Genomic DNA, 27,769 nt, shown 5'->3' on the forward strand with positions numbered 1-27,769 from the left:
AAGTGGGCTTCATTCCTGGGATGCAAGGCTGGTTCAATATATGCAAATCAATAAATGTAATCCAGCATATAAACAGAACCAAAGACAAAAACCACATGATTATCTCAACAGATGCAGAAAAGGCCTTTGACAAAATTCAACAACCCTTCATACTAAAAACTCTCAATAAATTAGGTATTGATGGGACATATCTCAAAATAAAAAGAGCTATCTATGACAAACCCACAGCCAATATCAAACTGAATGGGCAAAAACTGGAAGCATTCCCTTTGAAAACTGGCACAAGACAGGGATGCCCTCTCTCACCACTCCTATTCAACATAGTGTTGGAAGTTCTGGCCAGGGCAATTAGGCAGGAGAAGGAAATAAAGGGTATTCAATTAGGAAAAGAGGAAGTCAAATTGTCCCTGTTTGCAGATGACATGATTGTATATCTAGAAAACCCCATCGTCTCAGCCCAAAATCTCCTTTAGCTGATAAGCAACTTCAGCAAAGTCTCAGGATACAAAATCAATGTACAAAAATCACAAGCATTCTTATACACCAATAACAGACAAACAGAGAGCCAAATCATGAGTGAACTCCCATTCACAATTGCTTCAAAGAGAATAAAATACCTAGGAATCCAACTTACAAGGGACGTGAAGGACCTCTTCAAGGAGAACTACAAACCACTGCTCAATGAAATAAAAGAGGATACAAAGAAATGGAAGAAAATTCCATGCTCATGGGTAGGAAGAATCAATATCATGAAAATGGCCATACTGCCCAAGGTAATTTATAGATTCAATGCCATTCCCATCAAGCTACCAATGACTTTCTTCACAGAATTGGAAAAAACTACTTTAAAGTTCATATGGAACCAAAAAAGAGCCCGCATCGCCAAGCCAATCCTAAGCCAAAAGAACAAAGCTGGAGGCATCATGCTACCTGACTTCAAACTATACTACAAGGCTACAGTAACCAAAACAGCATGGTACTGGTACCAAAACAGAGATATAGATCAATGGAACAGAACAGAGCCCTCAGAAATAACGCCGCATATCTACAACTATCTGATCTTTGACAAACCTGAGAAAAACAAGAAATGGGGAAAGGATTCCCTATTTAATAAATGGTGCTGGGAAAACTGGCTAGCCATATGGAGAAAGCTGAAACTGGATCCCTTCCTTACACCTTATACAAAAATTAATTCAAGATGGATTAAAGATTTATATGTTAGACCTAAAACCATAAAAACCCTAGAAGAAAACCTAGGCATTACCATTCAGGACATAGGCATGGGCAAGGACTTCATGTCCAAAACACCAAAAGCAATGGCAACAAAAACCAAAATTGACAAATGGGATCTAATTAAACTAAAGAGCTTCTGCAAAGCAAAAGAAACTACCATTAGAGTGAACAGGCAACCTACAGAATGGGAGAAAATTTTTGCAATCTACTCATCTGACAAAGGGCTAATATCCAGAATCTGCAATGAACTCAAACAAATTTACAAGAAAAAAACAAACAACCCTATCAACAAGTGGGTGAAGGATATGAACAGACACTTCTCAAAAGAAGACATTTATGCAGCCAAAAGACACATGAAAAAATGCTCATCATCACTGGCCATCAGAGAAATGCAAATCAAAACCACAACGAGATACCATCTCACACCAGTTAGAATGGCAATCATTAAAAAGTCAGGAAACAACAGGTGCTGGAGAGGATGTGGAGAAATAGGAACACTTTTACACTGTTGGTGGGACTGTAAACTAGTTCAACCATTGTGGAAGTCAGTGTGGCGATTCCTCAGGGATCTAGAACTAGAAATACCATTTGACCCAGCCATCCCATTACTGGGTATATACCCAAAGGACTATAAATCATGCCGCTATAAAGACACATGCACATGTATGTTTATTGTGGCACTATTCACAATAGCAAAGACTTGGAACCAACCCAAATGTCCAACAATGATAGACTGGATTAAGAAAATGTGGCACATATACACCATGGAGTACTATGCAGCCATAAAAAATGATGAGTTCATGTCCTTTGTAGGGACATGGATGAAATTGGAAATCATCATTCTCAGTAAACTATCGCAAGGACGAAAAACCAAACACCGCATGTTCTCACTCATAGGTGGGAATTGAACAATGAGAACACATGGACACAGGAAGGGGAACATCACACTCTGGGGACTGTTGTGGGGTGGGGGGGGAGGGGGGAGGGATAGCATTAGGAGATATACCTAATGCTTAATGACGCGTTAATGGGTGCAGCACACCAGCATGGCACATGTATACATATGTAACTAACCTGCACATTGTGCACATGTACCCTAAAACTTAAAGTATAATAATAATAAAATAAAAAAAAAGAAATGTGGAGGAGAAGGGGATAAAGGAACAAGTTAAATGACACCAGAAAGAAGTGAACAGAAAAGTTCAGAAAACAGGGCATTCTACAGAAAAATAAGTACATGGCAGGAGGAAGAGGGAAGAGAGAAGGAAACTATGCTAGATTTTAAAAGACATAATCTATGAAATGTCCAGAAAGTAAAATTTATACAAATAGAAAGAAGATCAGTGGCTGCCTGAGGCTGAAAGTGGGAGCAGGGATTGACTGCAAATGGGTTGGAGGAAATTTTGAAGGGTGAAGGTAATGTTCTAAAACTGGATTATGATGATAGTTGCCCAACTCTACAAGTTTATTAATGTCACTGAATTGTCTAAAAAAGAAAAAAAGTCTTAAGACCACTCTGTTGTATGGACCTTGTTTGGACCTGACTCAAACTAACTCTAAAGACATTTTTGAAATAGTCAAATAAATTTGGTTATGGATTAAATACTAAAAATATATCATTTATTTTATTGGGTGCAAATGGCATATATGTCCATATTTTTAAAGATGTTTATTAAAATATTTATAATGTCTGAGATATGCTTTAATATACTACAACAGATTTTTTAAAATGGGAAAAAGAATGAATTAAGTAAATAGGATAAAATCTTGACAATTATTGAATCTAGGTGATGGATAAATGGTAGTTCATTGTACTATTTTTTCTACATTTGAATATGTTTGAAGTATTTTATAATTTAAAAAATTGATGGTTACTATAATAGCCTCTCATGGTCAATACCATAAACCAAGGCAATAATGAGTTTGTGTGATTTTCCAATATTGCCAGCAACTAAGACACCAGGTTATCATTCTAAATCTCAGTTTTTAAAATTACTGCAAGTCAAAAAAAAAAAAAAAAAAAAGGCCAGGTGTGATGGCTCACGCCTCCTGTAATCCCAGCACTTTGGGAGGCTGAAGCAGGTGGATCACTTGAGGTCAGAGGTTCGAGACCACCCTGGCCAACATAGTGAAACCCTGGCTCTATTAAAATTCCAAAAATTAGCCAGGTATGGTGGCATATGCCTGTAATCCCAGATACTCGGGAGGCTGAGGCAGGAGAATCACTTGAACCCAGGAGGCAGAGGTTGCAGTGAGGCGAGATCACACCACTGCACTCCAGCCTGGGAGACAGAGTGAGACCCTGTCTCAAAGAAAAATAAATAAATAAATAAATTAATTAATTAATAAAATTACTGCAAGTCTCCAAAGTAAAATTAAATTGCTTACCTTTAAGTCATCATTTGAAACTTCAAAACTTTATATAAACCCACTCTGTCTTTTTTTTTTTTAGGTGGGGGAAATTGGGGTGGGATAGAAGGTATATGTATATATTTTTTTCTACCAACTCAATTTAGTCTCTCCTCATTGCATACTTTATACCACACAGGTCACGAAATAAATCCATCAGCATTCTCAGTAACTAGCCTGTGATAAATATGCCTGGCACCAATGCAATGTATTTAAGCCCTTTCAACAGCTTTTTCTTTGTGCACATGGAAAGCCTGCAGATTTCCATGCACATCTGCATACAGAATCCACAACCATGATCTGCATTATAATTAATGTAGCAGCACATCTGACCAGGTCCACAGAGTCTTGATGTATAACCAGTTTTGAGATCTGCAGGGAACTAAGGATGCCCTGGGGAGAAAGTGAGGCTAATTTCAGATCAGGCACTGGACAAGCTGTAAGTGGTAAGACACTTGCTCTCCTGAAACAGCTATGACATCGCTGGAGAAAATCTTAGTGTGCATGTATGTGTGTGTGTTGCATACACATACATTTACTTCAAGTCGTAGTTTCTCTCCTCTTGCACTCCTTACCACATCCCTCATATACCTACTCTAAATGACCAAGCCACAGCCCAAACATTTACATACAGATACATTAAAACCTTAGATAAAAAGCCTTCTTTGGTTACCACTGATGGAAAATCACCGAAGCATGGATTCTAGTAGTGGTGTATAGCAAGCACAGAAATATCAGACCTAAACTACACACCCCTCTCATTCTATTCCCTTGGTAGTTAAGACTTTCTTCTTCTTCCCCATCCTATCCCATTAAAAATGTTTTTACATTAAAATCTAGATAGAAATCTCAGGACTAGGCCAAGTTCCTACTTACATGCATTTCTTCAACGGCCTTCAGGGACACTCACTGTCCATGTCCATTGCTCCATTCCACAGCTAAAGCACAGAATGGGGGCCCATGAAACTCAGCACGAAGCAGGGCAACTTTATTCTGTATCTTTTTAGCCTAGAATGCTGAGTCAGCACTGTCCAATAAAGCTTTTTGTGATGATATCCAATATAATAGCCACAAGCCACATGTGGGTTTTGAGCACTGAAAATGTGGCTATTGTGACTGAGGAAGAGAACTATTGATTTTATCTAACTTAAATTTAAATAGCCACATGGTGCTGGTGGCTACCATATTGGACAATGTTGCAGTAAGTGAAAGACTTCCATTTGTTGTGTTTTCACTTAGGAGACTTGTTATATACAAAACATTCTTTAAAATAATTTTCTGTCTCTCTCATCTACACACATACACACACACACACAGATGCATTAAATCTTAATAGTGCTTAACTCTGGGCAAGCATCTATAGAATCAGACATTCAAATATATTTTGAGTGAATAAATATGTTTATATTCAACAATTTTTAAAATAAACAGGTAATATTTAAAAATCAGAGAAAGCTATAAACAAATATCATAGTCATTAAAACTAGGCATATGAAGATATATACCGATATGGGAAATAAACAGAAGCAAAATGCAAAACAAAACACAAAATACCATCTACGTTTTTGGTCATAAGTACTAAAATATTAGGTAGGTACGTGTCAAAGGATTGAAAGGGAACATAACCCATGAAAATAACCAGATGGAGCAACAGGTTATAAATGGATTTTGAACATTTGTATATAAGTAAAGTTTTAGAAAAAATAAACAAAGGTTGAAAGGCAATGCAATTTAAAGGACTGAGTGTAGGAATAGTCTCATAAAACTTGAATGTTGCAAGCAAATAACTACCCATATGAGTGGCAACTTGAGGGCTGAGGATATGGAGGCTGAAAGAATTCCAGTCATGGGCTGCAGAGGGAGATGTAACTAGAACTGAGAAATCGATGACTTAAGAAAAAGAAGGGAAAAGAAAGCTTGTAAATGAGAATAAGAGAGCTAATGAGGAATAATGTTAATTTTCAGTCAGTAAAAGACTTAACATTGTTCCAAGGCCATTGGCTGAGAGGCCAGAAAGGCTCAACATTGCTTTCCAGATGTGACCCGTTCCTGAGGTTAGCATCAATCACACTTAATTCCCCTGGACATGTGAAGCAATGGAAACAATGGTTCTCAAACTATAAAATGAGATTCCTACGCCCCATTCCCAGGGCCTGAGAAATACTGATTTAAAAGAATAACTTGCTCTAAATGTCTGGCATAGGAAAAACTGTATGAACACTCTGATGCTCTTTATGGATAAAATCTGTCTTCTATTTAATAAAGATGACTAAACAAGTTTTTTTTTTTTCTGTTTTTGAGATGGAGTCTCACTTTGTCACCCAGGCTAGAGTGCAGTGGCACGATCTCAGCTCACTGCAACCTACGCCTCCTGAGTTCAAGTGATTCTCCTGCCTCAGCCTCCCAAGCAGCTGTGATTACAGGCGCACACCACCATGCCTGGCTAATTTTTGTATTTTTAGTAGAGATGGGGTTTCACCATGTTGGCCAGGCTGGTCTTGAGCTCCTGATCTCAAGTGATCCACCTGCCTCGGCCTCCTGAAGTGCTAGGATTACAGGCGTGAGCCACCACACTCAGCCTAAACACGTTTTTTGATGACTTGGGGAACTTTAGTGCCTGTGACCATAGCCCCTTATTGTTTCACAGAATTTAACAAAGAAGGGGGACCAGAAAAGCTATCTTTGAACATGTGAGGACCTGTCAAGCAATAAAGGTTGAAGACTTGCTTTGTGGGACATCAAGGATAAGCCAGAAGGGGGATGGTTTCAGTGTGATATAACGACGTTTTAGAAGAAATGGGATCCCATAGAAGGTGGTGGGCATCCTGTCCATAAGCTATGCTAAATGACAATTTGGTCTATAATTTGTGTGAAGAATTTAACCAGCAACACTAAGATTAGATGACCAGTAACCTCCCTTTCTACACCTTGATACAGCCTACCTGACACTAGTAGAATTTACTACTGCTACAAAATAGAACTCAAAGTTCATTTGAAAGTATTTTATTTTACATATAACTGCTTCATGGTCATTGTTTCACGGTGATTACATAAGCAGCTCACATCAATATGATTTTTACTTTTACATGGAAAATCATTTGTTTCCTCTCTCACTTTTCTGGTACCTAAAGTCAAAGTCGATATTGCATTTCCCTCACAGCATTCCAGGATCATTTATTCAACAAATAATTTTTTGCCATCTAATAAGTGTCAGGTACCACGCATTCAGGCCAGAAAATAGCTAAACTAATCATCAATACACACAAATTAAGAAACAAAAGTCCTGAATCTGATTCTCCCCACACTCAGGTTTCATTGTCTCAACCTATCCCTGTGTTCCAGGGCAGACTTTCCTGTATTACACCCCTAGAGACCCCCCAATTTTCCCTCTTACCCTCACCCCCATTATCTGAAAGGTGCTTGAGCAACGTGTCCAGCTGCTGCTTCTCCCCAGACCTGACCCCAAGTCCAGGTGTCTCTGATGCAGTGGAGATTGGGGGCCAGGAGGATGAGGACTACCTGTCTAGAGGGAACAACAGGATTACCATAGGGAAGGAAGAAGAAAACTCAGGGCAGGATATTACACAGTAAGAATGAACCCTGGGAATTTTAAAGCAGAGGACTAGAGCTAGGAAAGGAAAAGGGGTGTTTTTTGTTTTTTTGTTTTTTTAACAAGGGTTAGATAGTCTTACTGGAAAGCCAGGAAACAGAGGTGACTTCGGAGCCCAGGGCTTCGCATAGGAGAAGTCAGCAATGCCAAAAGGTGCCTCTGTATACTTAGCAGCTGTGAGGCAATCAATCCCTCGGGGAACCTGTAGGCCATCACTCTAGTAAAGATGATGTTTAAAGAGGGGACACTAAGGGAAGAGGAAATTACTACTGGTACTTTTTTTCCTATCTTATTGTGAAATATGTCCAAGAAATAAGCATATATATATGCTATATATATAATATACAGTGTAAATAATAAGAAACAAATACCCGTGTTCCCACCTACCAAAGAAAGAATATTTTCTTCACCCCTTTTGCTCCAGCTCCTTGAGCATTCCCAAACAATTAAAGTAGATTCTTCTCAGGTGTGGTATAATTTCCTGAAACTGCAGAATGCCTCTGTGCAAACTCTACCCACAACATCACCCTTACTTGCCTCCTACTGCTTAAAAGTTCTTTTAATGAATTAAGATAAAAATATTCTTTCTATACTAAAATTAAAGAGTTTAAAATAGAAAGTTAGCATATTGCTGTAAGTCTCTTTAGTCAAAATGTAAATGATCCCAGCTAATTTCCTGTTTTAATAGGGGAAAAGAATTTGAAAGATAAGGTCCTATGACCCTGAAAATATTGGGGGATGAAGAAAGCTGAAGTCCCAACAAAAACTTCACATACCTCACCAGTTTCCCCTGGACTTGAACAATTAGCTTCATGCATACATAAAGAGAGGTTAGGAGCAGAGATACTTCCTGGTCTGTGTACCTGCGCTCACCTGAGCAACCACTAGGCTGCCCATTCTTTTCATTCTCCCTTGTGGTCACAAACACCTGGTGTTGCCTTGGCAACGAAATAAATATGCTGGAACTGCCCCCTCAGGCTTCTAAGTCGTTGGCCATTTGTTCCACTAAGTTTACACAAGAAACTGGTACTATTTGAATCTAATTAATCCAACCAAAATTTACCGAGTGCTTCCTATATGAGTATATGTCTAGGTTGTCTATTTTCTAATTTCTCCTTTTCAGTTAGATGATATGCAAACCCCATGGCACTAATTGTTTAAGGATAGGAATGAGGATTCTTTTGCACAGCCATGTTTGTCTATGAGAAGTTATATCCTTGCATGTTCCACTCTTTCTTTCCTACTCTGGAAAACAATTCCTACACAGTCCCAATCCCTTCCCTGGGTCCTATTACAAGGAGGCTAATGATGTTGTCAGTGGCAGCAACTCTTCAGCAGAGCATTGATATTATGAGCTTACCTTTTCACCACCGTAACACAATGCTGACTTGACTCAGAATCAGATCCCCTATCTCCAGGTCAAGAAAAAAAAAAAAAAAAGAAACAGATTAGACAAAGACCAGTCCAGGCATTTGATTATGTTTAAACTGAGTTGCGCCGGGTGCAGTGGCTCAAGCCTGTAATCCCAGCACTTTGGGAGGCCGAGGCTGGCGGATCAAAAGGTCAGGAGTTTGAGACCATCCTGGCTAATAAGGTGAAACCCCATCTCTACTAAAAATACAAAAAAAAAAAAAAAAAAATTAGCCGGGCATAGGTGGTGCATGCCTGTAGTCCCAGCTACTAGGGAGGCTGAGGCAGGAGAATGGCGTAAAACCCGGGAGGCGGAGCTTGCAGTGAGCCGAGATCGCGCCACTGCACTCCAGCCTGGGAGACAAGAGTGAGACTCCGTCTCAAATAAAATTAAAATAAAATAAAATAAAATAAAATAAAATAAAATAAACTGAGTTGCCCCACACTAGTCAGCAATGTAGAGTTAATCATTACTAGAATGGTCAGCATTGGGAAATAACTTCAGATATTAGATGAGGAAATGGAAGTGCACAACTGCTAAGTGACTGAACTAAGAACACAGTCAGGTAATGGCTGATCAAGGACTATAACTATGTTTTCCAAACCATGCATTTCTTCTGGGTCCCCAAATATAGCAGAGTCATGACTGGACAAGGATTGTTCTTCTGTAACTAAAAAACAAACAACCTCCCTCCCTGAGAAGCAACGCTCTCCTAACCTGAACCCAAAACAACCCCTATCAGAAGCTCAAGGTCTTCCTCCGGAGTTCTTCTGCCTAAGGAGAAAATTCTCATCATCACTCTTCAAATCTAAAATGGCTTATGGCATACAACCAGTTCTCAAAGAAACCACTAGGTTTAAAATGAAAATGAAGCTCTTAAGTCTTCCAACAGGGAAATCTAAGATAGCTGGCTTCCTGGCAAGTGTGTGCTCCTCCCTCCATTGTGGGAGACAATCCAGTCACTGGAGTTTCTAAAAGTGGCATATTAACTCTTCCAAGATAACAGGGCATCATTCACTAAATTACCTTTTCGAAGACATTACATGGTACCCCAGTTCTTTGGAAAAGGTAATTAGCTTCCCATGGGTGACTAGTTTACTCCAAGTGAGCACTGTGCTCATCAGAGGACAAGGATGATCTCTTTTTGTGGGAATAAAAACATTATCTTGCTTGTCAGGAGTGATTTATTTTTTACCTTAATAATGATGTAAGCCCTTTACGATACATATTTTTAATTGGTAACTACCCCACCATGATAATAGATCATAGCACGTGCAATAAGCTGGGAACTTTAACATCAACACATCTGACCTAAATTAATCTTAATAAGCATCTATTGCACACCTAATATGTGTCAGAGTCTATGCTATATATTGGGGAATTACATTGCTCAAATGTATCCATTTGGGGAATATCAGTGATACTAAAACACTCTATCAGATTATGAATGGCTATTAAAGTGAGTCTGGCAAGTGGCCCACCATGTCTTGCCTTGGTCATTAGAGATTTGAATCCGGTTAATGGCTCCACATTTAAGAGGTTAGTGGAGAATTTAGTAAGGATATATATAAACACAAGAAACATACTTTATAGATCTGAAAATAAGAGCCACAAGGAAAGGTCAAAATAATTCCAACAGAATAAAACAAAAGTGGAGAATAAAATCCTAAAGGATGACCTTGTTATCCTATAAGACCCAGCTCCTCCAGGAAGCCTGGCCAGGAATTCTACCCACAATGATCTCCTGCTTCTCTGAGTTTCCATTGCATCTGAGATATAGATCAGAGTACTTAGCACTTGATCAATCCATTATAAATTGACTTGTACGATTTTCTTTTTAAAGTATATTTGTCTTGTCTCTCCAATTATATGATAAGCTCCTTGAAGAGCTTGGATGTTATATATTTCTCTGGTACCCCCACCTACAGGCTTTGCCAACAAGCACAAAAAAACTGTTGACATATATAAGTAGGAAAAACATGTTAAATGAGAAAACTAAGAGTGTTTATCACTGAGAAAATAAGATTATGGCAGAGATATGTTCTATTCACTGGCTATTCATGTGTTCCACATTTGCCAGTCCTCTTGCAATTAGGGGAAGCCTTATAATAATTTCTTAGGTACTGGACCATGAGTAGAAGTTTCTGGACCAAAGCATAAAGAACCAGTTTAAACTTCTAGTTTTTTCTTCCTCCCACAAAGACCGTGGAAACCCCATAATGGGGTGATTAAGTAACAACATGAAACCTGCTTGGATCACTGGGTCACCACATGAAGAAGAGCTCTCCTAGAGATTTACTTTACTCACAGTCACATTTGTGTGAGCAAGAAAAAAAAAATCCCTGGTTGTGTTAAGCCAGAGATGAATTTTATCTGGTACCATAGCATAGCCTAGGGGTATTACACTGACTGATATTAACAAAAGAAGACTAAAAAGAAAAATCATTTCAGTAGTAAGAGCTGTGACAGAAAGTCCTTCCTGAGGTAAGACTACGGAAGAAAGAACTAGGAGACAAAAGACAGACTAGGCTCAATGAAAGGAAGAACTCTGGCAGGCCAGTAAAAGACATCTACCTTTCATTCAAACAGAGCCCACAAGTCCACTTGGTGAGAAATAAAAAAGGGACAACTGTGGTCAAGAAATTTGAATGAGACGATTTCAAGGTCCCTTCAAATGCTAAGATTTTATGATCTATGTTTGGCAATGGATTCCTAATATATGGAGGCCAGAAAAAGGACATGCAGTTTATGCTGAGTTGTAATTCTTTTAATAACATACAGAAGCAACATCAAAGTATCTCCCTGTAAAATCTTGCAGGGACAGACAAGAAAAGCACCAAAAGACCCAAGGATCCTCTCCCTTCCCCTGTCCATCTACAATGCCACACCTTTCAAAGTACTCCTAGGGCTATTTGACAAGTTTATTGCCACCTCAGCTCAGAGCTTGTGTCACAAGAAGATGACTTCATTGATAAAGATTTCTCACCGGATTAAGAGCCTTCTCGGTGGCTGAAATATCTTGAATTAACCTCTGGAAAGAGGGTGAGGTTCCGTAGGACAGGAGTGTTTCTAGACTCTTGAAACCATGTGTTATTTTGATGCAGTTATCATGTCCTATCAAAGTATCTCTTGTTTAAATTACAAGGGTGGACTGTTAAATTTCTAAGTAAAGATATTTCGTTTTATTCCCCGAAAATATTTTAACAGTAGGGGAAATGTCTATATGTTACATACACAAGGGTAATGCTTAATGACCTGAAAATGTAACTTAAAGAATGATCTCTGCCACTTACTAGGGATATGACCTTTGGCAAGTTACTTAGCCTTCATGACTCTCAATTTCTTCCTCTATACAACAAGGGTTAAAATATCTACTTCATAATGGTGCCATGAGTTAAATGAGATAATGAGCTGTGTCAACTAAAAAATGGAGTTCAAATGTAAGGTACTGGAGGGAAAGTAATGAAATAACACTCTCTAAAAATGTTATTTTTGAAATCAATGTTGGAGTACCTAAGCATTAAGATAATAGACTAAGATAATTAATAAAGCAAGGGTAGCAAAAAGACCAGTTCAGCTTCACTTAACTCATTCAGAATTGTGCAATTAGCAAATCTAAAAAGAACTTATTTTAATTTCAGTATATCTATGTTTTGTTTTATAATTTAATATTTTTATTTTTAATTTCATAAAAATCACATATAATCTTTTCCATGTTAAAAAGCATCTACAGTTCTTAATCTGACCTTGAGTTTATCTTTAATAGATTCAATAAAGACTAGGAACAAAAGTATATAAAGTCTTATGACAGTTCAGTGAAAGATGCAAAGAACATATACTATATATGTCATGTGGGTTAATTATATATTTCCTGGTACTTGTGAATTACTTCAACACAGAACTGAGAGGGATTGTGGCAGCGTGAGCAACTGCAACAAGTGTAACTCAAATAAAATGGGTCTGAAGATGGAAACTGAGATATATGGGATATTTCATCACGTGGATGGAAGATGCAGCTTAACGGTAATAACAACTAATTATGCCTGCTTAAAGACAAACAACTTATGAGCGCAGGGCTTGGAAGGCCGAGGGTGTGAACTGCGGTCCCCATGCCATCACTTGTATGGCATGTATGCCATCATCAAAATCAAAAGATGGCTCTTTTTTGTCAGGTCAAGTGAAAAACTCTGTACACAGCTCATACCCAAAACTCCTTAATGGCACGTTTTAGTAAGTCTTCTAAATCCATGCCTTGTTTTGATAGTGTACACATTAAAAAAAGCCAAAGGCATTGTTCTGTGTCTCTCTGTAATGACCACATGCTAAATCGGCCATGGTTCCTATACCAAAAGCTCTGCACTGAGGAGACTTAGCAGAAAGCCGGGCAGGAGGTGCCCCTCTTTGTTGCAGCTTTCATTTTTAAAATAAGTCATAATTTCTGCATTGGATACAAAGATGGGTTTACAGCTATTAGCCATCATATTAATAATTTAGAAAATACATGCCCAATCACTGACGTTCTTTCAATTCCCTATGAACACAGCTGCAACCCACATTAGAAGTGAGGGTGAATGGATATTTTTCAGATGAGATATTTGGGCTGAATTATTAGGGTAGCCTGTACTACAAAATTACTAATAAACATTGCTTCTGGCTCAATTCAGCCTGAACTCAGTGAACCTAGCCAATGGTGACAAATCAAAAACTCTGAAATGCCCAGTGAATGAATCTAACTAATCACGGAACCCTGTAGGAAGTAGATGCCAGGATTAATGAGCCAGTGGTTTCACCATGCCATGCTGTTATTTCTTCACATAAATGCCCTCAGATGAGATTATCTTTATGTCATGAAAAGGAGAAAAGGAAGGTTACATTATTTCAACTGACAGGTTAACTACTGCCATTACTAGAATACACATATTTGTGGGCTAAGTTTTTTCTTTATCCTAAAAATTTAAATGTAAGTTCCACAATATAAATTAAAAACACATTTTCATTTTTGGGAAAAGCTGTCATTGGGGGCACCAAACATAAATTGTCCCAAAGTTAGAATTTTCCTCTTTATTTCCTCTGCATGTCTATATGCACATCTACCGTGATTTACCCAAACTGCTCTGCATGCTGTTTTGTATTGAGTATCTAACATCATCTTCAGCAGGTTGCATTCCCATATCATATTTCCTCCACCATCAACAAAAGGTAATCTAAGTGCAAAATCATTACTATACCATCACTTGTATGGCATGTATGATATTTAGTACCAATACTGAGGAAAAAATAAAGATACAAGGATGAACTTGTATATTAAAATAAATCAATCATATGGTTACATCATAATGGATTGTTTCCAGCTAGCATGTGGTGACAGTATTCAATATCAAACAGGCTACTCAGCAAAAAGTACAATTATTAGAGGCAGGACATCTAGCATGTTGTACTTAAACTACTTTGTGTTCTGATATTATTCAACTTTATTGTCTTTATTCCCTTATTAAATTTACTTAATTATTATTAGATCTTTAACAATTTTGAGTCAGAATTGCTGTTAATGATGAGTAAAAAAATTGTATGAAGCATTATTCTGTTGTTAGATTTTTCTCCTTCAAAAAGCAGAAATCTTTCAGGCTTGTGATTGAGGTTCTTATTCTTCTCTTTTTATCTTTGCTAAACCGTCAACCTTAACAATTCAGGCCTGCTTGCCTTCCCTTAACCTAATGGCGTATATGACTTTAAAATGTTCAGGATTCTGAATACAAAAATCTATTATTGCTATAGAAACAAATATTAGCCCAGAGTCAAGCCAAGTGAAAAACTCTGTACACTTTACTATAATATTGATAAATAACCACTACATTATGAAATATAAGTATCTTTGAAAGCATCTATCACTTGAGTTGATTTGCAACTTCTCATCAGTGTTCTGAGTTGGCCCATTTTTTTCCAATGAAAGATCCCATTTCCCTTGCCTTTGAGAAATACAATTTTTAAAGATTCCATTTAGCATCCTTTATTGCATTCCTACATCATAAAGTTATGCTTTATAGCAGCATAAAAAGCTGTAAAATTGGCATCCTTGTAAACAACATTCCATGAGCACTGGTGAAGCAATCCGTAATTTGTACTGATCTCTTAAATGTGACTTGAGATTACAGTATCCACGATTTCAATTTTTTTTAAAAAAAAGCACTAACATAAAACAAGCGAGAATATGATGAAATGCAAAAACAAGGAAAAGTATTTTTCATTAACTCATATTTTAGAAATTTGGTGGTTGTGTGCTGCTGAATTCTTGGATGAGTTCTCAAATACAGAAATGTTCCGTTCTTGTATGAAATTCAAAATGAGCATGTTTTCTCTTCTTTAATATTTTAATGTACTAAAAATAGTCTTTAGGAAAGTGTATAACTGAAATATTCTGTGAACCCACCCACCAGTTTACCTCTAATTAAAATTCCTAAGGTAACATGAACAGATTTACTTTATCATTAAAAATCATAGCTTTTTGTTCTCATCTCTGAGGAGATTCCATTGTGTTCTCTTAGTTGAGTAACGATTACAACAGCTCCTCAAATTCACATGTAGCCCAGCTGTATTGTATTTTAGCAGGAGGGTATTTTTTAGGGTTTACACTCTGAGGCAACCAAATGAGAAGTCTTCCCGTGGGAAAAGGGGTGCCCTCTCAATGCCTATAATGACCATTAAATTTCAAACCACAAGATTGATTTCGGTTAGCCTTCCCAAGGAAGCCTGTGATATCGATTTGCCTCCAAGTTTAAAACACACCGCAAACCTTCCCCTCGGCCGACCGAAGAAACGGCATTTTTTTCCTACTCCTTTGGGGCAGTCCCCTGAGCACGTGCCTGAAGTCGAGGTTAGTACGCAGCCAGCAGGGACCCTGACAGGAAACCAGAGCAGCCCCGGGGTTGGGGGAGCCCTGGTAGGTGCTGGTCGTCCCGGACACGCCTCTTCTGGAGAAGCGCGTTTGTCCCTTACTTGGGAGGTCCCGGGTATCTGAAGCGGATCCCGGGTCTGGGGACATGAAGGGGCGCCGTGGCCTTAGGGAAGGCCCCAAAGAGGCCTAGGCCCCGGAGGAGGCAAGAGCCGCGGCCTAGCTTCCACCGCGTACCTGGGGCCAGACACGGCTGGGGCGGCGCCGGAGAGCAGAACTCCAGGCTCTGAAGGCCGAGGGTGCGAATTGTGGTCCCCTCCCACCCACGGCCTCCCCATCACGCGCACGCAGCCCGCGAGGGGCGCCCTCCGCGCCACTGCCCCAGGGACACCGTTCATCTGAGGAACTCTCGCGCCCTGCGTTTCGTGCCGACAGCGACGCTCGGAGTCCCACCTGGGAAACCTGGGTTGGCCCGGAAACCTCGGGAGGCTCAGAGCTTGCGTGAGGCGCTCGCGGCGCCCCAGCATGCCGCCCCGTCGCGGAGACCTCACCTTGCAGCCCAGAAACCGAACCCAAGCCCACTGCAGGGCGAAGGGCCCACGCGTTCCAACTGGCGCGAATATAACCATTCCCAAGACCGGCCCCTCCCCTCCCCCCACGAGACCCCTCCCGCCGTTCAAGGTCACACCAAAACCCATCATTCTCTATATCACATACTGAAAATGATTTTATTTTATCCATTTACATTTAACTTGATATAAACTTGTCCGGAAAAGTCAAATAATATGCTTTATATTAGCTCAAACATTTATTAAGAAAACCGAATTCCATAAATAAACACAGACATTAAGTTAAAACATATCACAAATTGACCAGTATGTAACAAGAATGCTTTATCTACACAAAACATCCTATTTCACATATTTGTTCATTCTTAGAAAGCGCTTCTGTTCTCTGGGTTTGGATTTGACCAGCACATGCAGAAAGAGCTGATTGTGTTTCTCTGTACAAAGTTGCAGGGTTGTAGATGTCCGAGTGCCCCCATCGGCTGCCAGCAGGTGGCCGAGGGGCACGAGGGACGACAGGACCACCACAAAACAACCAAGGGCACAGAGCAGCGAGAAGACAGAAACAGAAAAGGAAGCAAACAAACCCCAGTCCTGAAGGATCCAGAAAAGAGATGTGGCTTTTGCTTTTACAAAAGAAAATTTTGCTTACACGTTTATTTTATTCTTCCTTATAAAGACTTATCAAAATGGGTCAGATCACCTCTTCCTCGTCACATGACTGCTTTAGTCTACTCCAGCCACCCAATCCACTGTCACGTTCCTCCTGAGAAGCCTTCCCTTCTACACTCTCACACAGTTGTGCTTAAGAAAATGAAAATAAGATAAAATAAAAATAAAAGCGTTATCTTGCAAGCCAAGAGAGGGCTGCACGGATGTGACTGGGTGGACTGGGCAAGGGTAGCGTGGTGGGAGAGGAAAGAAAGACAGGAGCTTGGAGAGTACAAGGATAAATCAAATCATATCAGTTGGGCCCTCAGATGAGGCGGTTGGTAGCAATGCTTGTCCTCCTTTAAGACAAAAATCCCTAACATTGTGCTGTCCCTTGAACACGTCCGTGTGTGACCTAGGTGCACCGTGTCTGTGCGCGCGCGTGTGTAGCGTCTGAGCGTGAGCGAGAGTGCGAGTGTGTGTGTTTCTGCCCACAAACCAGTCCATTGGTGTCTGATTTCAGATCCTGAGTCGACTCCCTGGTACGTAAAATGGCGGGAAGGATACTTTTTGCCGGGCGCGGGAGGAGGGTCGCGAAGTGTGGGGAAAGAGGGGACCGGAGGGGAGGCGGCGGGCGAGGGGGGTCGTAGGCGTCGCGTCGAAGGTGTGGGTGGGAACGCCGCCCGTCAGAAGGCCAGGAGGAGGGCGCGAGCACGGCCAGCGCAAGCAGGGAGGCCAGGGTGGCGGGAAGGGTGGGCTGAGGCGCTGGAGACCGAGCCGAGGGCGCAGCTGGGTGGGAAGGGAAGAGGGGCGGCCGGGAGACGGGGGACCGCGGGCGATCGAAATCAGGCGGAGGGGAGGCCTCGCGGGCTGGGGCTTGGGGTGAGCCCGAGCGAGTGGAGGAGAGAGGCGAGGACGAAACGAGACGGGGCGAAGGCCGGGGCGGGACGGGGCAGGGCGCCGGGGTCCGGGTGCGCGCCGGAAGGGCCTCGGGGCGGCCCCCGGGGCGGTGCTGGGGGCGGAGCGGGCCGGGGCGCGGCTGCATTAAGTGAAGCTCATAGAGACTGTGTGCTCTAGCGCCTTGCGGCGGAGGGAGGCGATGCTGGTGCCCCGCCACACGTCGCTGCTGTCCGGGGAGCTGCAGAGCTGGGGCGAACCGGAGACGTTGCTGGGGCCGGGGAGGGAGGCGGGCACCATGCCGGGGAAGGCGGGCTGGTAGAGGTGCGACTGCAGCCCCGCGCCGTTGGAACCCGCCAGGCTGTTGGACAGGCCCATGGAGTTGGGCGGCGGACCGGCCGCCAGGCTGCACTGGGACAGCGACTGCGCCATGGCCTGCTGCCTGCCCAGCGCCGGCGGCAGAGGCAGCTGTGACACGCCAGGCATGGCGGCCGCCGCCCAGCGGGTGTCGTTGGCGTGGAAAGAGCACAGGCTGTCGCCCATGGCGGCGGCAGCGGCGGCGGCAGCCGACGGGAACTGAGGCAGGCCTGGCGTGGGCAGCAGTGTGCCGGGCGCACGGAACACGTTGGTCGTCTTTTTGCGCTTCTTCCACTTGGCGCGTCGGTTCTGGAACCAGACCTGGAGCGGGCGGGGCGGGAGACAGACAGGGAGCTATTAGCCGGCCCGGCGGCTGGGGAGTTGGGGCTTGAGCCCCAGAAACCCGCCTCGGATACAGCCGCTCTGCCCTGGGAGGAACAAGTGCCGTAGGCCCGACAAGCCCCCATACCCAGCCGGAGACTGTGGCTCCCCACCAACTCCTGGCAACTGGCGCCCCCTGCACCCACCAAGCGCGGAGTCCTGCGCTCCTAAGAGCTCGTGCCCCGAAGAGTTTACGCACTGTGCAAACACACCAAATGTGTGCAGTCTTCACCACGCCCCTGCACATTCTGTGCACTGCACAGATTCACAGGTCTGCAGTCAGGCATGTGTCAAAGTTCGACCCACAGGTGTACAAATGAAGATAAACGTGTACCCATGTAGCTTAATAGCATGCCTTATAACACTGATGTGCTATAGAATTTTCAGAAACGCTGGAAATTTGGAAATTGATGACAGGCTGTGGATGACATAGTTTCAAAATCGAAAGACAAAGGAAAACCCCTAACGCTACGGTTGACAGAGCGGAGAGGTTAATACAGTGATCTGCGTGGGAAAGTGAACGCCACTGAGCTACAGTGTTGTTTGGGTCACCACCATGACTTCCGATTCCTCCCATATTGCTTCGTGCTACTGCCACAACTCTCCGTGCCTCATTCCCAAACCACTCTATGGACACCTTTGTCTGGGCTGTACGAGTGGCTGGAACCTGCTGCCCCAAGAGCCTTCAACCCTATTCTTTTTTTTTTTTTTTTTTTTTTTTTGAGACGGAGTCTTGCTCTGTAGCCCAGGTTGGAGTGCAGTGGCACGATCTCGGCTCACTGCAACCTCCGCTTCCCGGGTCCCGGCTGAAGCAATTCTCCTGCCTCAGCCTCCCGAGTAGCTAGGATTACAGAAACGCGCCACCATGCCCAGATAATTTTTGTACTTTTAGTGGAGACGGGGTTTCACCATGTTGGCCAGGCTGGTCTTGAACTCCTGACCTCGTGATCCACCCGCCTCGGCCTCCCAAAGTGCTAGGATTACAGACGTGAGCCACCGCGCCAAGCCAAAGTCTATTCCTTTCAGGAACTTACCAAGGGTCCCAAGTAACAAGGCCTCCAGTTCCCTCAAGTCGCCCCCATTTCATTTATAAACTAAAAGCAAATTTTCGGACCAATATGAATTAAAGGAGGTCACATTTCACTACGAGATATATGAATCAAATTTAATTTTGCTCAGACAAACCCAAACGTCCTTTTTCAGGGAAATGAGTTTGATAAAATACACTCCAAATGAAAACAGCCTTCCTATTTTTTTTTTTTTTAACAGTGGCCCGGGAGTTACAGACCCTGTCAGGCAAATTTGCCTAGGCATGTCAAACCCTCTATCACAGAAGAAGAGTTCTGCCTGAAAGATATCACATAAGCTGCCAATCCAAGATAACTCCCATCTCCCCCTATTTGAATGTGATCTTTTTAAATGACAATAATAATAATAATAATTTGCCAGCAAGCCTGCCTGGAAGACTTGCAGTTTAAAATCTGGTCATCTGGCGTTTACTGTGCCTAAATATAAATGATGTAGGACAAGCCCAGGTACTGAGTTTCCTCTTAGAATTTGGCCAACGCAATTTGACCACGATATCCGTGGAAAAAAACGTTGTGCATCCGTTAATCTAACCTATTTAGTGTTTACTCTGCAAGCTAAAGTATCAGGGGTATGGACATACCTGCCCTCGGTCTCGGTGAGCCAGCAATGTTCAGCGGTGTGTTCATGCCCAGGCAAGCGTAGACGCACTCTACGCTTACCAGTGTGAACGGTGTTGCAGTCTAGAATACTCCCCCAGCTTGGGGCCGGCCCTCGCCTTTCTACCGTGCCTGCGCCGTCGCCTACCACTTTCTTCCTGTGGTTTCTACCCCATTTTGCAGATTGCTGCGTATCCCAGTGTCGGCGATGGATAAACAGGTCTCGTCTCTTCCCAGTTGCAGCCCGTGAGCTGGTGGCACAACGGATTAATGAGGCAACAGGGCTCTAGATGGTGAGTGGGATCAATGAGACCCAATTGAGCTGTTAGCGGTCTTAGGCGGAGAGCATCTCTCAGGAGGAAAGGAAGGCACAGCGAGAAGACCTAAGGCCGAAAGTCGCTGTGCAGCACCCACCCAAGGCTGGACTCGGGGGAGGTAGACGGGACGGTGTCTGTGACTAAACGGTTCCCACACCTTACACGCCGCACCGGGATTATGTTTTGAAAGGTGTCTTATAAAATCAAGACCGGTTCCTAACAACCTGCAAGTGCCAGTGAATCCCGAAATGTTTGTTTGAGGAGAGGGAGTGTGAGGGAAGGAGCAGAAAAAAGAAAGAGGGGGAGGATTGCCCAGTAGAATTTCAATAGAAAATGTGACTACCAGAATGGTTTCTGAATCTAGGATCTGCTCAGGCACAGGCGGAAAAGAACAGCTGTTAAAGAACTAAATATTATAGAAATAATCGGAAAATCGTGCTCAATTATGTTTGAGGGTTAGTAGTCAAATGATGGCTACAAATTTTTTTATGTTTCATGGCTTACTGGGATTGGGAAAAAAAATCTGCGTGGGGTCTGAGCACCTCCGTTCCAAGCTACGATGCATATGTTTTTTAAATGTGAATGTTTCCACTTGAAAACTAGAGCATGACGGATTAAAATGCAGGCAAAACCTAAGGGAGATTTTTAGAATGCACAGATGACAACTCCAGGAAATATATTAACCCCAGCCACGGGCCAACTTTGTACTCAGTTTGAAATGCAGCTCTTCTTGGAAAATGCTTAATACAACAGTGAGAATCTAATGGAGGTTGGAATCTAAAAATCCACTTTCATGATATCTGCTGTTACAGTAATATAGACATACTGTAAATGTATTTTAAAATATATAGCCCGTTTAATTCCCCAGCTATAAATGACTGAGAAATAGAAAAAAGAGGGAGAGAAAGAGAGAATATTACTTTTTCCCCCCTTGAAGCAAATGCTTTATGAAGATCTCATTGGAATCCAGCAAATGATTAATGTGAAGATTTTGGAGGAAATCTGGGGAGCTGTATTAAAGCCTAGATCTCAGGTTCATTTCGATCAGCCAGCCGTGAACTCTGGGCCGAATTCATTACAGTTTAATAGTGCTGGGAGAGGAAGAAAATGCAATTTCTCATTCCATTAGAAAACTAGAAAATACTCTCAGTTTGTCCCCCTATTAAGATGTGGCAGGTGACAGGGCCATTCTGGGGGACACGGTCAATGGAATTACAGCACACTATTTTTGTTCATATAAAATATTGAAAGGCAAGCCTGACTGTGCAGAAGTTATTTTACTGATTTGGTTTTTATGTAAATAAAATATTGAAAGTTAATTAATCCATGCTAGAGACTAATGATTATGCTTATTATATTGCATTTGATCACATAATTTGCATGATTCTCACATTGCTGCTTAATAAGCCATTCCAGGTTATAAATAATTCTGAAATTGGTTTCTAATAATGGCATGCTATAAAAGGAATGGTTTTATTACACTGGCCAGAAAAGAGGAGCTATATCAGACATGGAATTGGCCTCCATGTGAGTAGAGATGCTTTAATAAATACTTAAAAGTGTGATATATACCAAATAAAGATAAAAAATAAGTATATTGGATAATTTAGTCTAGAATCAAAAAGCATCTTTAAAAATATACAATTGCAATGAATTAAATGTTTAGATAATTTTTAATCAGCGCAGTGGCCCACATACTGAAAAGAATGTGTGGCAGTCTGTTAACTATAAAGAAAACTATGAAGTATTGATCATATAAGAACATAAGCCAATTACTATTTAATTTGAATTTGGTCAAGGAGCAATGGTACAGTGAATTGTGAAGTAAATACATTTTCCATAAATTATTTTTGCATTACATTACATAATGTTAATCATTTTGAAAAGTTAATTAAGAAGGTTATGTTGATCTGATTACTTTTTAAACTATGGAACATTATTTTTAAAAATATTGAAATTGCCATTCTATTAAATTGTGTCTATCAGCAGGCTCAAGCTATTATCTTTGCTTGAACATTATGCTGGAACAATTAGAGTACTTTGTCTCTTTCTTCTTGTGCATTCTTTTGTGTACTTTTTGAAAATAACTATTTCTGTTACATAGCTTATATTTTATTTCATTTACAACTTTTTCTGTTAAAAGAATAACTGTCATTAACCTTTGGAAGACCTAATAAAGTTTAATAGACCTCGTTTTCTTTTTTCATAAAATCAGTTGTTCAATTATATTTTATTTGTGATTCTAAGTTCTATTTTAATTTAAACTAATTGCCAGTATATCTAGGTTAAGACACAGCATTTTACCCTTTAAATACAGAATTAATAGATAATCTTTCTCTTAAAGGACAAAACCCCAAAATTTATGAATTTCTAACCTGCAAAATTGAACCTACAAGCAAGCACTGTCATCAGTGTTGATGGAAGTATTGAAATTGTATATTTATGTAAAGGTTTAAACTCAACTTCAGATATTTTTTAAAAGGTGAAAAATAAAAATTTTGAAGAGCATTACTAACACATGTTTACAGTTACACAATTAGTACTCTTTTGGTGTGTCGTTTTAAAAGACCATGGTCTAGGCCTTTCACTAGGAAAACCACCCAGACTTATATTGTATAAAAATGCTAATCATTATGTTAATCAACATTACTTTATTAATTTGACCATTTTAAATCCCCAATAATATTCATTTGCTATTAGAGCAGAAGCATGCGCTATCTTTTCAGTTTAGACTATCTTTAAAATGCCGAATGGAGACAGAAACATTCAACGCTGTGATTACGGACGTTCTCATTGCTTACTTCTTAGATCAAATGTAAAGTAACTAAGATCTTAAAGTTAATTTTATAAAAGTAGGTAGCACTGGTTTAACAAATTGACCAGGTTGATGACACCCAGGATATCGTACAGAAAATACCACCGTCCAAGACGGCAAAGGAAGATTTTTCAGCACCCTGGATAGCTCAAGAGTGAGTACCGGCGCTTGGAATTTCACCTCCAGGCACCTGTCCATAAAATATTTGATATGTCTTCATTCTTTCTTTTAAAAAACAAAAAAAAAAAACAAACAAAAATCTGGGATTCACTAGGCTTATACTTTTATTCACCAATTTTCAGAATAATTATAGGTGTGATTTTCTAGGTTATATATAATTTACAGCTTGGAGAGTGGTTGGAGGAGAATAAGGGGTCAGCAATGATTTCCTCTACTGCCTGTCAACCTTTCCCGTTCTGAATGCCCCTTCTTCAGACATGATATCCACAACAGAAAGCCTTCATTTCCCCTCCCCCACCGTAGCTTCCTTAGAGGACTCCAAAACAAAACGGGGCTCACCGGCTTTGGGAATCTCGTCAGCTGCCCCCAGCGCACTGGTAGACTACGAAAGTTCAAACCCCTTGCAAACATCAAAGCTAGGAATATTTCGCCTGAGTGCAGAGGGAGGGTGATACTTAAGGTAATAAAGCCACGCCGTGAAACCTGGGTGTAGCACTTTTTTAAAAGGCGCTCATTCGCCTTATTTGCTCTTTTCTCTTGTTTTCTGTATAATTGTTGCATTCCTCCTTTTATCCAAACGCTTAACACAAACTCATTAGGGGGTAATATTTGTCAATAATGCGAGCAGGAGTTGAGGTGTGCGCTCGGCTGGGCCGCCCGGGGGGGCGCTGAGGTTGCCTTCTCAGGCGGAGGAGGCGAACCCTGTAGCCCGACAACGCCGGGCTTCGATTTTGAGGAGCTTCTTCCGGGATGTCGCTATACTGGCCGGAGACGGGCCTTGCGTGTCCATTGGGGGATGGCGATGGGGACCAGTTTCCGGGTAGAGAAGGAGATAACTCGATACAGGAACGCACAGGCAGCCTGAAAGCAGCCCAGGATCTCGACAGGGGAAGGGAAGACCCTGCTCCCTTTGCCCAAATCCTCCCGCCCTGTCCTTGCCTTCTGTCCCAGATCCCAAGCCCCTCGTACCTGCACTCGGGACTCGGTCAGCCCGATACGCAGTGCCAGCTCCTCACGCATAAAGATGTCGGGGTAGTGAGTCTTGGCGAAGCTCCTCTCCAACTCGTTGAGCTGTGCGGGGGTGAAGCGCGTCCGGTGGCGCTTCTGCTTCTGTTGGCCCTGCTGCTGGCCGGCTTGGCTGGGGTTCGGGCCGCCCTGGGGCCCGGGCTGCTTGTCCGGGTCTTTGGCGCTCACCGCCAGCGAGGCCGGAGTAGAGCCCACTGTGGTGATGTCCTCCCCGGGCAGCAGAGTGGCTCCCTCCACTGGGTCAGAGTTGGGCGCCAGGTCCCCCGGATGGCCCCCGGGGTCGGAGCCCCCCACGCCCAGCCTACACTTCACCGCCTCCCGGTGGCCCAGAAGCTCGGCGGCATCTTTCATACCTGAGGAGGCAAGGGGATCGCGGTCACTACTTTCTTGGCGATGCCAGGAGGGGCTGTCTTCCCCGCGCAGCCTTCCTTCAACCCGTCCTCGGCCCCCTCCGCACCCGCGCTTGTCCTAAGGAAGAAACTCCCAGGGTATTCAGCTGGGTTCCCCAGAATTTGGACAGCCGGGTTGGAATAATATCTCCCGGCCCCTTGCCCTCGCCGCAGCCGGCTCCCGTAGTAAACAGCACAAGCTTTCGTCTCTCCCACAATAAAACACTCCCAGTCCCGGCAATAAAACATGCCTCTGAATCCCTTCCATAAACCGTACCCCAGGCGCCCCAGGAAATCGAGAGCAAATCTTTGGACACAGGGGTGCGGGGGGCAGAAAGAAAATTAAACAATTCCTCGGTTGCTGCGGCACCTGCGCTTCGGCAGCCTGACGAACTGTACCTCCGGCCCTCAGCCGATTCCCTCTTACTTTCGGAAGATGAATAAGCCTCCAAGCTTTCACCCCCCGAAATCAACCCAAATCAGCTCCGCCTCCCCCTCAAATCAGAGAAAGTGTTTGGAAAATGGAGTCACATCCATCACCGAAGATTCCCAATCCGGAAACCCAGAGCTCAGCAACCCAGATAGCATTAAGGAAACTCGAGTGAACTCTATGGACAACCGTGAATCAAACTTTAGAGATTTCAACTTTTCTTTCCAGAGAAATAAAAGGCGCATTCCTCACAGCCATTGGCAACGCTGAGTCCCTTGCAGAAGAGGGGGGGATGACTGTGAGGTTGAATTTGGCTTCTCTCCTTCTCAACCAGCACACTTAGCAAATCCGCCTTGATGGCAGCAGCTTCTCCTTTATGCCAGATTTTTTACAAATTACACCACACTTAGAAAAGGAGGAGAGAAGAAGATGGTGGGGAGAGAGAAACGGGGGGAGGGAAGGAGAAAGAAATCCCAAATCAAAACAAACAGGAGAGGGAAAAAAGAGAGAGAAACACCTCCTAACAAATTATCACGGGGTATATCGCCTTTCGAAAAAAAAAAAAAGGCGGGGGAGGGGGGAAGAGAAAAATAAGAAAAACAAAAAGTAACAACATTCCCCAACTCCTTTCTTGGATCTACATATTCCATAGATTTTTTTTTAAAGGCGATGTTAAATCAAATTAAACTTTAATGCAGCACAATTACTTTTAAAGAAATTAGTCCATTTAGGTCGCATTAAGGTAAAATAAGGAACAAATTGACAATTTCCTGCCCCGGCTTCTCCTGGCTGCCCGGGCGAGAGGCGCGCACTCACCTAGCCTGGCGTCCAGGAGGTCGGCATGAGACAGCATCGCGCACCGCTCCAGGGCGAAAGCTGTTCCCCCCCAAATTTTAGCGGCTTTAAGTTATTTAAAATAGATATAAGCTATAAGCTATACGATATAGATATATATAGATCACCTAAATGAAAGAAAATTCGGTTTGTGGTTAAAAAGGGGGCTTCTTGCATTATAATGTCCTTTAGAGAGACGGGGAGGTGCTTAACAGTTGAATGAACCCGTGAGCAGCTCGGCGAGGGGACCAATCAGGAGGGCAGCCTGCAAATGTCAGCGCCCGGAGAGTCCCCCACTCCGCCCGCCCGCTCGCCTGCGCCCGCCTGAAGGAGGCGGCGGCGGCAGCCCTGGCAGCTCCAGCCCGGAGCAGGAGCTAAAGCAGCCTCAGCCGCCTCGGCCTCGCCCTGAGCTTCTGGGCCCGGCTCCCTCTAGTTCTTCCCTGCGATTTTCTCCAGGCTCCCCTTTCCTTCCCCTTGGCCGGCGCTGCGCGCTTCGAAGGCGTAGCTCTGTGCCTCTGAGCTAACATCTTCCTAGGGCAGGGGCAGAGCAGGGGTCAGAGCGGGCCATGACCCTGGCGTGACCTGAGGGTCGCCCCCACCTGCGCTCTCTGGGCCTGCCGCTCATATTGGCCCGCCAGCCCAGGGCGCGACGAGGGCACACCGCGGCCTTCAGACAACGCCTGGACTTCGCCGCGGCTCAGTAGGCCTGCGCCTAGGGTCCAGGCGCCCTGGCTGTGCCCTGGGGTCTATACGAGCCCCAACCCCACAGTGGGCCTAGAGCGCAAAGAGGAGTCGGCTTCCCTGGCACCGCCAGCGCCCGCTGTCTGCTTTGGGGACCCTCGCGGAGTGTGGGTTCGAGCGCTCTGCACTCTTCTCACCGGGCTTCTTCCCGGCTCCTGCTCTTCCGCTTGGCCCACGCCCGCATCCTCGCCCCTAACTCGCTCTTTTGGTCAAAGTTTCTAAGTTCAGCTCGGCTCCCAACTCCACTTAAGGCTGTAAATAAAGTTAAATGCTCTTTATTTTCCTCTTGAATATGTTAAACTACTTGAACAATTTAAAGTGCTTTGCACAAGTGAAGCGAACCATTTCTAATGTTCTGATTTTTCAGAGCCAGCCAACAACAAAGTTTAGATTAGTAATATATTTCTAACCAGAGTAATTTTCAAGATCATTAGGCATTTATGTAATTAGTGCCAAATCTATAAGCTTTTATTACGATTATTAGAGTAAAATCAGTATAAATTTGTACTAATTTACTACTGTTTAGACTTGGCTGTCAAGCCTAGAGGTTCTTATTGTAAATGATAACTGAGGAAATTAAGTGCAAAATTCTGTACCATTTCTGATCTGCTCCTAAACAATCCGTTTCAATTGTATTTGTAGCAGAACATAATGCCCTTTTAAAGTTATTTGACTTGTATTTTTATTTGCAACACAAGAAAAATGCCCTCTACCCAGTCACAATGAAAACTGATATTTACTACTCCCAACTTGATTAACATTGATTTTTAATTCGAGAGTGATGCAATTAAGATTATTCATTTAGTGCAAATAAACCTTCCACAAAAGGGTGGCCCAATGAAGTCTGTTTTAAATAATACTGAGCAAATGGCTTTTTTTGTTCGCCGTCCAATTGACTTAGACAAAACATTGAAAATGCTGGCTGAGAGCAGATGCGAGAGGAATTGT

At 42.7% G+C, this 27,769-nt stretch overlaps 2 protein-coding genes and 1 long non-coding RNA gene across 5 annotated transcripts in view, besides 7 other annotated features; 1 reads left to right on the forward strand and 2 right to left on the reverse strand.

The window, feature by feature from the left end:
* Positions 1 to 8,127, reverse strand: part of WDR41 (WD repeat domain 41) — a 189,645-nt gene extending 181,518 nt beyond the window's left edge. For all 3 annotated transcript variants that reach the window (XM_011543505.3, XM_047417350.1, XM_047417349.1), the window contains exon 1: positions 8,029 to 8,127. In XM_011543505.3, coding sequence (XP_011541807.1) covers positions 8,029 to 8,070 — 42 coding nt within the window. In that variant the 5' untranslated portion in view covers positions 8,071 to 8,127. The remainder of the gene's footprint in view (positions 1 to 8,028) is intronic.
* Positions 15,887 to 16,452: an enhancer, noted in NCBI's record as "H3K27ac-H3K4me1 hESC enhancer chr5:76924162-76924727 (GRCh37/hg19 assembly coordinates)". NCBI's record gives its function as "activates a minimal SCP1, AML or CMV promoter by ChIP-STARR-seq in naive and primed H9 embryonic stem cells {active_cell/tissue: H9 hESC(naive and primed)}" and the evidence as "EXISTENCE:reporter gene assay evidence [ECO:0000049][PMID:30033119]".
* On the reverse strand, positions 16,262 to 26,263 carry OTP (orthopedia homeobox). The gene is made up of 3 exons (NM_032109.3): positions 26,063 to 26,263; positions 24,371 to 24,780; positions 16,262 to 18,344 (listed from the first exon to the last, which is right to left on the reverse strand). Exons 1-3 carry the CDS (start codon positions 26,097 to 26,099, stop codon positions 17,814 to 17,816), a joined length of 978 nt encoding a protein of 325 aa, NP_115485.1. The 5' UTR covers positions 26,100 to 26,263; the 3' UTR covers positions 16,262 to 17,813.
* On the forward strand, positions 17,221 to 22,010 carry OTP-AS1 (OTP antisense RNA 1). The gene is made up of 2 exons (NR_198942.1): positions 17,221 to 17,311; positions 20,273 to 22,010. It is a non-coding gene; the product is annotated as an OTP antisense RNA 1 (long non-coding RNA).
* Positions 17,600 to 18,039: a silencer, noted in NCBI's record as "silent region_16112". NCBI's record gives its function as "represses an Ori minimal core promoter by ATAC-STARR-seq in GM12878 lymphoblastoid cells {active_cell/tissue: GM12878}" and the evidence as "EXISTENCE:reporter gene assay evidence [ECO:0000049][PMID:35858748]".
* Positions 18,210 to 18,259: an enhancer, noted in NCBI's record as "active region_22700". NCBI's record gives its function as "activates an Ori minimal core promoter by ATAC-STARR-seq in GM12878 lymphoblastoid cells {active_cell/tissue: GM12878}" and the evidence as "EXISTENCE:reporter gene assay evidence [ECO:0000049][PMID:35858748]".
* Positions 19,743 to 20,243: an enhancer, noted in NCBI's record as "H3K4me1 hESC enhancer chr5:76928018-76928518 (GRCh37/hg19 assembly coordinates)". NCBI's record gives its function as "activates a minimal SCP1, AML or CMV promoter by ChIP-STARR-seq in primed H9 embryonic stem cells {active_cell/tissue: H9 hESC(primed)}" and the evidence as "EXISTENCE:reporter gene assay evidence [ECO:0000049][PMID:30033119]".
* Positions 20,346 to 20,475: an enhancer, noted in NCBI's record as "active region_22701". NCBI's record gives its function as "activates an Ori minimal core promoter by ATAC-STARR-seq in GM12878 lymphoblastoid cells {active_cell/tissue: GM12878}" and the evidence as "EXISTENCE:reporter gene assay evidence [ECO:0000049][PMID:35858748]".
* Positions 26,249 to 26,805: an enhancer, noted in NCBI's record as "H3K27ac-H3K4me1 hESC enhancer chr5:76934524-76935080 (GRCh37/hg19 assembly coordinates)". NCBI's record gives its function as "activates a minimal SCP1, AML or CMV promoter by ChIP-STARR-seq in naive and primed H9 embryonic stem cells {active_cell/tissue: H9 hESC(naive and primed)}" and the evidence as "EXISTENCE:reporter gene assay evidence [ECO:0000049][PMID:30033119]".
* Positions 26,806 to 27,360: an enhancer, noted in NCBI's record as "H3K27ac-H3K4me1 hESC enhancer chr5:76935081-76935635 (GRCh37/hg19 assembly coordinates)". NCBI's record gives its function as "activates a minimal SCP1, AML or CMV promoter by ChIP-STARR-seq in naive H9 embryonic stem cells {active_cell/tissue: H9 hESC(naive)}" and the evidence as "EXISTENCE:reporter gene assay evidence [ECO:0000049][PMID:30033119]".

Source organism: Homo sapiens, chromosome 5 (assembly GCF_000001405.40).
Source record: "Homo sapiens chromosome 5, GRCh38.p14 Primary Assembly".
NCBI classification, from domain to species: domain Eukaryota; kingdom Metazoa; phylum Chordata; class Mammalia; order Primates; family Hominidae; genus Homo; species Homo sapiens.